Source organism: Homo sapiens, chromosome 1 (assembly GCF_000001405.40).
Source record: "Homo sapiens chromosome 1, GRCh38.p14 Primary Assembly".
NCBI lineage: Eukaryota > Metazoa > Chordata > Mammalia > Primates > Hominidae > Homo > Homo sapiens.
In genome coordinates, this window is record NC_000001.11 from 70,671,242 (window position 1) to 70,685,397 (window position 14,156).

Here is a 14,156-nt window from a genome sequence, read left to right on the forward strand (position 1 = left end):
GGCAGTGTGGTGTAAAGGTCAGTGGTGGCAGCAGCAGCTGCAGCTTCCTTTCAGATCAGTTTTATAGTATAGTTCTGGAGGTTTTCTGTGAGTTCTCCATCAGCTCTTGGATCCCTTCCTGCTGAGACAACTACTGGATACAGCCATCTGCATGTAGGACTCTGAGTGGTACAACATGCATTCATGCATTTATGTTTTTCTCATGGCATTCCACATATTATTTATTTGATTGTTTGCTTATTATCTACTAGAATGTGTCCCTAGTACCTAGAACAGTACCCAGTTCATAGCAGGTGCTCAGTAAATACTTGATGACTAGAAAAATGTGCTAAACATGACAGGATTTCTTTTGTCCTCTAGATATTTTAGCTATTGGTATTAGTAATATATCTTAGCAATATATCCAGTAGATATCCTAGTAGGTATCTGCCAATATATCTATATCCTAACAATATATCCAGTAGATATCCTAGTAGATATCCATGAGCAATCTAGAGAATGAAATATAGACAGAGAGTGCAAAATTAGAATGGATAATGATTGTGGAGTCACCAAACAAGTTCTGGACCAACTATCTCCTCTCTATCCTATCTTGCTTAAGCCAGAATTCCTTTGGGTTCCCTTTTATTTATAATAAAACTGATTCTGATATATGTATCCTTGGGTGAGTGATTCCAAATTTCTTTTGTTTACTCTTTTCTTGGGAAATTTTCTGTTCTACCGTGCAGTAACTCACTGCCGGAGCTTAAACTAGAAGCCATTGGCCTTCAATCCCAGCGTGGGTCCGCTTCTACTTCATCACATAGATTCTGTGGATGCCAAGGAAAGAAGTTCTTTTCTAGCCAGAGTAGAAAAGCCAGGAATTGTTGAAATTTTATTTCAGTTCTTTAGATATTAGGGACTTTGTATTATAACAAACTTAAGAGTCTCACGAATGCTTCATTAACTTTGGTTTTTAGTTAAATGAACCTTTCTCAGCAGGAGAGACATTACTTGTTTTATTTTCATTTGCCAGTTCTGTCCACTGAGCTCAACCTATTATTCTTTACTCCACAGTTTGCTGAGATTTTCTGATATCCCTTATACTAAAACCTATCTCTTAGAGTCCTTTCCAGACTCTAGAAAACTCCCTATGATGACACTAGTGTATTGTCAGAACATTTATTTTTTACATGCCAGATACCTCGCAGTTATTATTTCTAACTCTTGCAACCATCTGGAACAGTAGCACTATTATCATCTCCATTTTTAGAAGAGGAAATCAAGCCCTGGAGCCTTATTTGGAGTTACACAGTTCAAAAGTGGCTGAACTTGGATCCAAACCAGGCTCAAAATGACCCCGGAGCCAGTGTTCTTTCCACTTCTCTAGTTCTTTACCCTTCACTGAAATCTTGTTGGATACCGTTACAGTAGAAAGAATAAATATGGAATGAAAATTACAATGTAATTGCCAAATTGGCTGACTCCAGCATATACAGTCTTGGGAATGCATCTGTCTATAACATTTTTTCTTAACAGAATTTTTTGAAAACAGATTGGCAAATCCTCGCTAGCTAGCATGGGCCATCAGCCAGGATGTGGGAGTCACTTCATAAAATGAAATCTTATGTTAAAATAGTGTTTATTGAAATATGTTTTTCCCAGAGGGTTATGTTTTTAGTGAAGACACTCAATGGTAAATATTTAGACCTTACTCTCCTCTCTATTCTCCTTCTCCTCAGGTCCTTTCAGTTGGGCAATAGCATCACGGGAAGCCACAGGGGTGCAAAGTCTAGTGAAGCTAAGAGGGGCACAACTGGGGAGGATGGAGGGGAAAGAGGAACATTCACATGTTTTCAATTAGCAAAATACTTTTTTTTCATTGAATTAATATTTTATTTAACCCTCACATACCAAAATAAGCTAGGTTTCAAAAATCATGTTTTATAAAGGAGGAAGCTGATAGGCAGAGAGGTTAAGATCATAAAGTGATGGATGCAGTGAGTGATCAAGTTAGAATCTGAATTCAGAGTTGTCTCATCACAGAACTGATGCCCTTTGGTAGTATATCATGTTTCCTTTCATGAGCAGTAATGTTAATAGTATCAGATGTTTTTATCCTGCTTTGTGTTTTGCATATATTCTCTCATTTATTTTCATAATAATCCCATCAGGTGCTTGTGACAGTAAATTTTGTGTGTCAATTTGGCTAGGCTATGGTACACAGATATTTAGTCAAACATTATTCTAGATGTTTCCATGAAAGTATTTTTAGATGAGATTAATATTTAAATTGGTAGATTTTGAGTAAAGCAGATTACCCTCCATAATGTGAATGGGCCTCATCCAATCAGATGAAGGCCTTAAGAGAAAAAGATCGACTCCCACTAATAAGAAGGAATTCTGCCAGCTGTTTGCCTGTGGACCCACACTGAAACTCTTCCCCGACTCTCCAGCCTGCCGGCCTACCCTGCAGATTTTAGACTTGTCAAGCTTCTAAAATTGCAGGAGATAATTCCTTAAAATAAATCTCTCTCTGTATATCCATCCTATTGGTTCTCTTTCTCTGGTGAACTCTAATACAACAGTTATTGTCATCACCCCTTTTATGGATTAATAGACAGGTTCAGAGAGGTTTAATACTTGCCTTCGAAACTGCTGAACTATCCAAGGTGACACAGCTAATGACTGGAGGACCTGATACTCAAAATCAGTTTACTTGTCTTCAAGTCTTTCTTTTTCTGCCTTGTTAGAAATTATTCTTTACCTCCTGCAGTTCTAGAGCTCAGAAGTCTGAAATCAGTTTCACTGGGCTAAAGTCAAAGTGTCAGCAGGGCTTTTTAAGGCTCTGAGGGGGAGGATTTGTTTCCTTGCCCTTCTCAGCTTCTTGTGGCTGCCTGTGTCCCTCTGCTTGTGACTTCTGTCTCCATCTTCAAAGCGTACCGTTCCGATCTTTGCTTCCCGTAGCACCTGGCCTGTCTTCTGTAGTCAGAAAGTCATCTCCTTCTGCGCCCCTCTTATAAGGACTTTTGTGATTACATTTAAGGCTCACCTGGATAATCTGGGCTGCTCTCCCCAACTCAAGATCCTTAAATTAATCACATCTGCAAAATCTCATTTGCTCTATAAGGCAACATTCACAGGTTCCAGGGATTACAATGTGGGTCTCTATAGGAGCCATTATTCAGCCTACTACACTTAGCTTTGTCTTTTTTATTTTAAAATCATACATAATTTAATTTGATTACACAAATATGCTTACTTCTTTATCTTCTCGTTTACTTTACTAATTCTGTTATGAAGTAGATTCAAATGAGAGCTTTGAAAAGAAATGATTTAAAATACTGGAACAAAGACTAGAATTATTGAATTAAAATAAACACATTATATCCGCTTTAAAAAAGCTATGACTCAGAATCCATAGATATCCTCAAAGCGATTTACATGAACTCTTCTCCCTTAGAGAAAATTTATCAAATCTATTAATCGATTACCAAGGTGACTGATTTGAGTAGCATATTTATGTACTTCTTTTCTGTTTAGGAGAATGACCAAAATGTAGGGCTCAGGTAGAAGAGGAAGCAGAGGTGAATTTTAATCTTCAGATTGTGTAATCAGTTCCCAGATGACTGAGAGCTGGCTTGTAAGTTCGATATATCTATGTAGAAAACTCACTTTGCTCCAGTGGGTTCTTATTTCCTTGTCCCAAAGAAACCCCCAGGGCCTCATTTGGTTAGATTTCATGCTACTAAAGCAAGTTTTCTAGTGTCAGCAGCTTATTTCCTCGCCTTCAGCAGCCTCCTGTGACATTGAGATTCATGCCTCAGCCCACCTGATCTGTGTAGTGACAAGAGAGCTTAAGCTCTGTGGTCAGACAGACCCACATTTGAATCCCAAATCCACTACTTAGTATGTGGTGCCCTTGAACTTAGTGCAAAGCTTTAATTCTCCATCAGCAGAGTGAGGCTAATATCTTTCACACATAGAGGTTGACTGGATTAAATGCAAACAGAGTGTTTATACTGATATCGCCTATCCCTCTTTGCATCCCCTTGGCAGCCATTCACCTTTGATTTACTACTACACCCACTACAGGGACAGGCAGAATGAAAAGATCCAGACTTCCCGTGTTAGAAGCAGACCTGACAGTGCTTCTAACTGTGCCTTTGCAGAGACAATCCTAGTAATACTAAAAGGTGAGTGTGAGGGCCTCCCCTCTTCTTCCCTAACAGAGCCCCAATTGTGTCCTGATGGCAGGCAGCTCTGTGCACCTTGCAGAGGGTGCTGCCTGACTAGTCTAAGCCAGTCATAATCATTACAGTCCTCTTTGCTGGTGACTAGCTCTGGGCTGACTCTGATTTTTTTCTGGTAGATGAGACATAAGAAAATAGAAGTTTTCTGAGGAAATTCAGGGAATGATTTCCTTCCAGGATTTTTAAAATTGGCTTCAATTCACTCCCTTGGCAAGAGAGTGAGGAATTCCCTCTCTAGGGATATAAAGACAGCTGGGCAGGTGAGATTTGCAGCAGTTTATTGGCCACATATACTCATAGCTCTAGGGGAGGAGGAGGGGAGTGGAGGGGAGCCCATGCCACACATGGCCACATGGGAAGGTGTTGCATTTGGGACCACGGCGAACAGCTAGGGGTAGTAGGGGGCAGGCTTTGTCATATCAACAGGATGTGGTTCTCCCCTGGTTCCTGAGGGGGTATGTGACGGGCTTGTTTGAATAATCCTGTGGGCTGTCAGGGAACTGAAACCTGATACTCAAGCGTGAATAGGAGCTGTGTCTGGTCACCTTGATAAGGAGGGTCTTTTCGCTAGGGGACCTTATCTGTGGGAGCAGAGTGGGGAGGAAGAATTTTAGTTGGGCCATAGGAGGCTCTAACATTTTCATGAGATGTCAAACCAATACATAATATTTGGCCTTTATTTTAGTCCTTACACCTTCCATTATACTGAGAGTCGAGGAAAGGGGGAAGGTGGAGAGAGAGAGAAAACGGACTTTTCTTTTCTCTTTGGCTATCATCTTGTGTGAACATGATGATTATAGTTAGAAGCATAACATCAATTTTGCAACTATGAAGAGACACTTTGCAAGCATTCCAAAGAGAGTAGAGAAAAAAGAAAGAACAAGCCTAGGTCCCCGATTGTTCTTTGAAGGGCTGGATTTCCCTAAAACTTTCTACTACCAGACTTGGTTTATATGACTTACTAAACTCCTATTGTTGAACTACTTTTAGTCTGTTATTCTTCCAGTTGTAGCTGAAGCATCCTGATGGGGAAGGCTAGATGTTCTTACTATTGGTAAGGGAACAGCTTTCCTGTAATTTTATATGTGTAATGTCTTTCCTGTGGCTAATATGGTTATTCATATTACATTAAGTTATGGTTATGCTATAAGAGTGGTTGGTGTAACCGTTTTGAGCGAGAGTGAAGTACTGGGATAATCAGAGAGAAAACTCCAATGAGAGGCTGTTGAGTCCCTTGGCCTGCTTTCCTGCCTTACAAAGAGAATATTACTTTTATATTACTCTTAAGCATAATTTTAACAAAATTTAAGCCAATGCTAATTCGTCAATCCCTAAAGTATAAGTTTATAATTTAAATTCATATACTTTATATTATAGCCACAGGTTACCCAATACCCTCAGGTTGCCTTGTGACCTGCAGGAAGATGGAGCTACCATGTATCATTTAAAAAAAATCCATTTTGCCATCTATGGAAAATCTACAATTAACATGAAGTATCTGCCTTAGAAACATGACAAGATAAGCCAAAATAAAATAAGGACCATGTTATAGAATAATGGAGAATATTCAAGATATCATGTTCTGATTTCTATCTTCTTTGCCTCTATATACTTAACAAAAATCAACAACAAAAAGAAAAAGGAGGATCAGGAAAAAATAACTAATGAATACTAGGCTTAATACCTAGATGATGAAATAATCTGTACAATAAACCCCCTTGACACACATTACTTATGTAACAAACCTGAACATCCTGGACATGTACCCCTGAACCTAAATTAAAAGGTAAAAAAAGACAAAGGAAATGATATTGCACTTTTCTTTTGGAGAAAAGTTGAATAATTTTGTTAAAATGATATTACGAAGTGATTTTATTTGCTTAAACCTTGCCTCAAATTATTTCTGAGCTTTTAAATGTTCCATGATGTTGTTTTGAAATTTGCCTATATATATAAAAACTTCTGTAATAAAATATTTAAAATTATTCCAATATATTCTCAATAAACCTCAAGGAAACTAACAAGACAACAGTGTTAGGTATTGGCATGCAATTTTCAAAATAATCCCAATATAATACTTTTTCTAGTAAAGCAATAAAAGTTACTGGGTTTTGGGGATTGAAAAAACTCTCATGAATTTATATTTAATAAAAATTTTATACTTTTTTGATAAAAAATAAAATGATTGTAAAATGATAAAACCGTTCAATTTTTGATGCTAGAACTCTGGTAGGCCAAGAAAGAACAGCTTTTCCTAATTCTATTGACTCTTTACCTTCTCAAAGGCTCAAGAAGACCAGACGTCCACAGCCTCCGAGGGCCACTCACCACATTAGATATCTGCACAAAGCCAGAAGTTATCCCCACGCTACCTGTGACCAAGTCTTACACGTGGCTCTCAGCCCCCTTGGCTGCTCTTCTTCACTTGGCATCTGAATAGCAGTGGCCAATGAATGAAGGGTCTTGTATACCATGCTAAGGACCTCTCAGTTCTGCATGTAATCGGGAATCCATTAAGGATTTTTAAGCTGGACGGTGGTGCTTCCAATAGCTTTATGGCAGTGCTTCCAATAGCTTTACGGCGGGACCACCGTAGTGAAGAGTATGTTAGAGGGGATGGAAGAGCGGAGCTACTGGGGAGGTAGTTACCATGATCAAGAGAAACAGAATAAACACCTGGGCTCCATCAGCGTCACCACAGATGCAAAGATATGCAGGCAGGCAAAATTGAAAGACCCCAAGTAGATACACTGAGGAGGAAGAGGGAAACAGGACAGTGACAGGGCTAAGGGAAGCTAGTTAGAATTGTGCTTACTGTTAAATGAAATGAACTCTAATGTCTGAGATTCTCCGTAATTAGAAAACAACGACCCAGAGCCTGGACCAAAGGCTTGCAGCATTGATTCTGGCTTCCCTGAAGAGATTATACTCTATGGTTCCTTTGCTGTTGTTGCTGTTTTTATTACATTTTTTGTTTTTTGTTTTTAACTGTGTTTCAGATAGTTATGGTGTCGAGATAAGTGACCTCTTGATTATGTATTACAGTGACGTATGTATGTTGAATAAAAAGTGAGATATGTTACTTTCTATTGTAAACTCACAAAGGTCATGGATCAGGATGAATTTTCTAGAGCTCATTTTAGGTACTCAACAAACCATAAAAACGATCACATTTTCCCATAGAAGACTTTGTTAGAGGATAAAATACCACCATAATCTAAAGGATTTTCTCTTCCAGGAAAAGCATCTAAATAAAATTAGAAAGATACAAAGGAAAGCATATTATATTATAATATCAGTTATAGCCTGAAAAATGAAAATATGATAATGGATACAATTCATTTATTTTTCAACAATTACTTATGAACACTGTTAACCAATGCATTCTTTTTTTTTTTTTTTTAGACAGGGTCTTGCTCTATTGACCAGGCTGGAGTGCAGTGGCATGATCATGGTTCACTGCAGCCTTGACCTTCCTGGCTCAAGAGATCCTTCCACCTCAGTCTCCCAAGCTGCTGGGACTACAGGCATGTACTACTGTGCCTGGCTAATCAATTTTTTTTTTTTTTGTAGAGACAGGGGTCTCTGTGTTGCCAAGGCTGGTCTTGAACTCCTGGGCTCAAATGATCCTCCAACCTTAGCCTCCCAAAATGCTGAGATTATAGGAATGAGCCACCAGGCCTGGCCATTATAAATATATTTTATAAGCAAAGCACAACATTAATTAAAATGATAATTACCTTGATTTGCTAAAAAAAGACATTGTTATCTGAGAGGAGGAAAAAATTATTGAGGGAGGGATAAACTGTTTTATTAATAAGTCAAAAAGTATATGCAATCCAAATGTTGATTTCTGAAATAAAACAGACTAAATTTTAAAAACAAGAATTTCTATACATCAGCAATTCCAGTCATTGTTTACAACATAACATAGTGTCTTCACTTTCCAAATGAGATATTTGGGAAAATCTTAAAAAATATAAACAGTAAATTTATTTAAAGTAACAATTATGCCAGAGGACATTTGGAGGCAAAGGGATGCTGCTGGGAAATCAGACACTGACCATATTTTGAAATTCTAGAAAAACTAGGAATTCACCTGGGCACAAATTGAAGGTGAGGCTTTACTAGTGCAGAAATAATTGATTATACTTATCATCTGGGACACACTTTGCAAGAGTTATACTTTGGGGTAATTGGAAGTAGACACAAAGAATTAGGTAAACATTCCTGCATTGCCATCTTTTTTTTAGCTGTGTCACCTTTGGCAAGTTATTTAATTTCTCTATGCCTCAGTTTCTCCACTTGTAAAATGGGCTGTAATTCATACTTACTTTCCAAGATCATGACTAACATTAGAAAGTGTGTTAAAAGCCCCCAGTGTGTGTGAACTCTTGCTCAATAGTAGCTCTTCTAATTAAGTTGCAATTACTGTTTTAAGACCAGGTGCAATAATTAGAAAAATCATTTCGGTAATCCTCTCATAGTCTTTTGTTTTTACATGAATCATGAACACCGAAACTTTCCTAAGGATTTAAAAATATGGGAATGAAAAAAGTGCTTTAAAAATTAGTGTGCTTCAATATTTTATGTAAGAAAATATTAGAATGCTACACTTGTTAACTTGATCACATTATTAATTAGAATTCAAATAAGCTTTAAATACCCATAAAACCTACAGTATAAAAATCTGACCAGTTCAGCATAATTAGTAGTAAATTATCTTACTTGTTGGGGCAAGATGAGGCAAATGCCATTTATTTTAACTTGCACTTAGGCATCTTTTTATGGAATTTTATGTGCAAAAGTAAATTTGTCATGTGTACGGGAAATGGAGCTAAAGAAAATGAGTCATTACAATCAAGGATGAGGAAGAAAATATTCAGGACATTGGCAAATATCGCTTGGCCACACTAAGCTAAGTTCTCTAAAGAGAATAAAGTTCTAATTGCCCAAGAGACTGCTTTTCTGCCTGGAAACATTTATTGCTTGGTCCACAAACTTCTTGTGATTTACATTCTTGATGAAAATATTTTATCATAGGATTGGATTTCTCTGACATCTATTTAAATTATTTTATATTCTCATGCTGGTTCAAATCCAGTTACCTACTTACCTAATATTTTGTGGTTATCAGAGTCATGCATATAGAAATATATCTAAGATTGATAATGAATTTTCCACCTTTACACAACAATCCCCTCCCAACACCATATTTGCTTTAGGGCTACAAATTAATGTTGAGGCACTGAAAACACTATGTGACTGTAAATGAGGCAAAAATAAATCCCTTTTGTAAAAATAAAAGCCAATACATCTCAGAAAATAAATAGAAATGAAGACATTGAGGTGATGAAAATTTTGAGACACAGTAAAAATAGATTGTAAGGCCATATATTAGCAATAAATTGGCTACTGTATGGCAATTCAGTATTCCCGCAAGGATCCCCAGTATATTTCTCTGTATATGTAGAATTATTCTGTCTTAAGAAAAGAGAATAGTTCTTCTTTTTATGACTCTGATCATTTTCAATATGAAAATGATTCTGATCATCTTCAATCTAGGCAAATAGCAACAGAAAATTATCAGAAAATCTACAGCAATTCAGAAGAAAACAAAAACTATTTAGGTGATGAAAACTGATTTGCATAAATGGACAGATGAAGAAAATGTTCATCAAGAAAAACATGTCTCCATTGATATTACCATTGCAGAGTAACGTTCTTCAAGATGTACACTGCCAGGTGATGAAGGTGAACAGCACAATGTCTAGGCTACAGAGATACTTGTCTTTTGAGTAAGAAAGTTTACCTCTCTAAATTAAAAAAAAATAGATTTAGGGAGTAAAAGTACTTTTTAAAAAAATGTAGACTTATTGTGTAGTGGTGAAGTCTGGGCTCTTAGTGCAACCATCACCTGAATGATATACATTGTACCCAATGGGTAATTTCTCGCCCCTCACTCCCCTCCCAACTTCTCACATTTTGGTTTCCAATGTCTATAATGCCACTCTGTTTTTCCACGTGTAAAAGTTGTTTAGTTTCCACTTGCAAGTGAGAACATATGGTATTTGACTTTCCGTTTCTGAGTTATTTCACTTAAGATAATGGCCTCCAGTTCCATCCATGTTGCTGCAAAAGACATGATTTCATTCTTTTTTATGACTGTGTAGTATTCCATGGTGCATATATACCGTATTTTGTTTATCCAACCATCTATTGATGGCCACTGAGGTTAATTCCTTGACTTTGCTATTGGGAATAGTGCTGCAATAAGCATACAAGTGCATGGGTCTTTTTTAATACGATGATTTCTTTTCCTTTGAGTAGATTTTTAGAAGTGGGATTGCTGAATAAAATGGTAGTTCTATTTTTAGTTCTTTGCGAAATCTTCATACTGTTTTCCATAAAGATTGTACTAATTTACATTTTGACCAACAGTATTTAAGTTTTTCCTTTTTTCTGTATCCTCACCAACAACTGTTGTTTTTTAATTTTTAATAATAGCCATTCTGACTGATGTAAAATGGTATCTCATTGTGGTTCTAATTTGCATTCCTCTGATGATTAGGGATGTTAATTTTTTTTAATGTTTATTGGCCATTTGTATGTCTTCTTTTGAAAAATGTTCATTTATGTCCTTTTTCCTGGGCTTGTTTTTTTCTTTTTTTCTTTTCACATAGAGAGGGGAGCAAAGTTACATTTTTATTTTCCTCTCGTTTAGTTGTTTGAGCTCTTTGTAGATTTTGGATATAGGCTCTTTGTTGGATGCGTAGTTTGCAGATATTTTCTCCCATTCTTTGGGTAGTCTGTTTCCTCTATTGGTTGCTTCTTTGCTGTGCAGAGCTTTTTAGTTTAATTAAATCAAATTTCTCTGTTTTTGTTTTTGTTGCATTTGCTTTTGAGGTCTTAGTCATAAATTCTTTGCCTAGACCTTCATCCAGAAGAAGTTTCTTCTAGAATTTTTATAGTTTTAGGTCATAAATTTAAGCGTGTAATCTACCTTGAGTTGGTTTTTGTATGTGGTGTGAGATAAGGGTCCAGTTTTATTTATTTATTTATTTACTTATTTTTTGAGACGGAGTCTCGCTCATGCAGTGGCGCGATCTTGGCTCACTGCAAGTTCTGCCTCCCGGGTTCACACCATTCTCCTGCCTCAGCCTCCTGAGTAGCTGGGATTACAGGCACCAGCCACCACACCTGGCTAATTTTTTGTAATTTTAGTAGAGATGGGGTTTCACCATGTTAGCCAGGATGTTCTCTATCTCCTCACCTCGTGATCCACCCGCCTCGGCCTTCCAAAGTGCTGGGATTCAGTTTTATTCTTCTACCTATGGCAATCCAATTTTCTCAGCCCCGTTTATTAAAAAGGGTATTCTTTCCCCAGTGTACATTTTTGACAACTTTGTTGACGATAAGTTGCTTGTAGGTATGTGGCTTTTTTTCTGGTTTCTCTATTCTGTTCCATTGATCTATGTGTCTATTTTAATACCAGTGCCATGCTGTTTTGCTTAGTATAGCCTTGTATAATTTGAAGTCACGTAATGTGATGCCTCAAGCTTTGCTCCTTTTGCTTTGGATTTCTTTGGCTATTTGGACTCTTTTGGTTCCATGTGAATTTTAGGATTTTTTTTTCTAATTCTGAAAAAAATGACATTGGTAATTTCATAGGAATTGTACTGAATCCGTAGATTACTTTGGGCATTATGGTCCTTTTAACAATATTGATTCTTTCAATCCATGAGCATGGAATGTTTTTCCATTTGTTTGTGTCATTTACAATTTCTTTCATCAGTGTTTTGTAGTTCTCCTTGTAAAGATCTTTCTTCTTGGTTAAATATATTTCTAGCTAGTTTATTTTTTGTAGCTATTGTAAATGGGATTGAGTTCTTGATTTAGTTCTCAGCTTGATTATTTTTGGTATATAGAAATGCTACTGGTTTTTACACATTGGTTTTGTATCCTGAAACTTTACAGAAGTCATTTCTCAAATCTAGAAGTATTTCGGAATAGTTTTTAGAGTTTTCTAGGTAAAAGATCATGTCATCAGCAAACAGGGATAATTCAACCTCTTCTTTTCTGATTTGGATACTTTTTTTTTCTCCTGTCTGATTGCTTTAGATAGGACTCTCAGTACAATGTTGAACAAGAGTGATGAAAGCAAACATCCTCATCTTCTTTCAGTTTTCATGGAGAACACTTTCAACTCTTCCCCATTTGGTATTATGTTGGCTGTGGGTTTGTCATATATGGCGTTTATTATGTTGAGGTATGGTCCTTCTATGCCTAGTTTGTTGAGTTTTAATCATAAAGAAATGAAAAATTTTACCAAATACTTTTCTTAATCTATTAAGATGATCAAATGGTTTTTGTTTTTAATTCTGTTTATGTGGTGAATCACATTTTTGATTTGCATATGTTGAACCATACTTGTATCCCTGGAATAAAACTCGTTTGATCATGGCATATTATCTTTTTAATTTGCTGTTGGGTTAGATTTGCTAGTATTTTGTTGAGAACTTTTACATCTATGTTCATCAGGCATATTGGCCTGTAATTTTCTTTTTTTGTGTGTGTCCTTGCCTGGTTTTGGTATCAGGGTGATACTGGCTTTATAGTATGAGTTAAGGAGGATTCCTTCCTCCTTGATTTTTTGAAAGAGTTTTAGTAGGAATGGCACCTGTTAGTCTTTGTACATCTGGTAGAATTTAACTGTGAATCTGTCTGTTTTAGGCTTCTTTTCATTGGGATATTTTTTATTATCAATTCAATCTCACTACTCATTATTGATTATTTCAGGATATCTATTAATATTTCTTTTTGGTTCAGTCTTGAGAGGTTTTATGTTTCCAGGAATTTATCTATTTCCTCTAGGTTTTCTAGTTTGTGTGCATTGAGATACTCATAGTAGTCTCTGATGATCTTTTGTATTTCTTGGTATGAGTTGTAATGTTTCCTTTATCATTTCTGATTGTGCTTATTTAAATATTTTCTCTTTTTTTCTTGGCTAATCTAGCTAGCAGTCTATTGATTTTGTTTATCTATTCAAAGAACTAATGTATCTCCCAGGAGCTCTCCGAGTTTCTTGTATCTGGATATCTAAATCTCTAGCAAAACCAAAAAAGTTTTCAATTATTTCCTCAAATAGGTTTTTCAGGTTTTTCTCTTTTCCCTCAGGAATACTTGTGACTCATAGGTTTGTATGCTTTGCATAACCTCATATTTCTTGAAGGTTTTTTTTATTGTTTAAAATTCTTTTTCATTTTTGTTTGACTGGGTTAATTTGAGAGACCTGTTTTCAAGCTCCGAAGTTTTTTATTCTGCTTGATCTGGTCTTTTGTTAAACTTTCAACTATATCTTGTAATTCCTTCAATAAATTTTTCACTTTTAGAAGTTCTGTTATTAAAAAATATGTATCTCTTTAGTAAATTTTTATTCATATCCTGAATTGTTTTTCTGGTTTCTTTGTGTTGGTTTCCAACTTTTTTTTGGATCTCATTGAGCATCCTTATAATTCATATTTTAAATTCTGTATTTGGCATTTCAGAATATTCATTTGATTAGGATCCATTGCTATAGAGCTAGTGTGATCTGTAGGGGTTGTTGTAACACCCTGTGTTTTCATATTGCCAGAATTCTTACACTGGTTCTTTCTCATTTGTGGAATCTTTCATTTCTTACTTTTGAATTTACTTTCATTTGGATGGGACTTTTTTCCCCCTTGAGAGTGTGATTGTAATGTATATTGAGTAGGGTCATTTGGCTTTGCTTCTGGGTGCTTTCATGGGGCCAAGGATCTGTTTGAATTCCTTAGTTATAGATAGCCTTAGTGTGGTGGTTTTCCAAGATTCTGGTTGTAGTAGTGGTGTACTGGGCATGTGAGCAGGCTCACTGCCTCCTGCAGAGACAACGAGGCAGAGGTC

At 36.4% G+C, this 14,156-nt stretch overlaps 1 annotated feature.

The window, feature by feature from the left end:
* Window positions 3,657-5,073: a transcriptional cis regulatory region, noted in NCBI's record as "candidate enhancer chr1.6877 targeted for multiplex CRISPR interference". NCBI's record gives its function as "positively regulates PTGER3 gene expression with high confidence in K562 cells {active_cell/tissue: K562}" and the evidence as "EXISTENCE:mutant phenotype evidence [ECO:0000015][PMID:30612741]".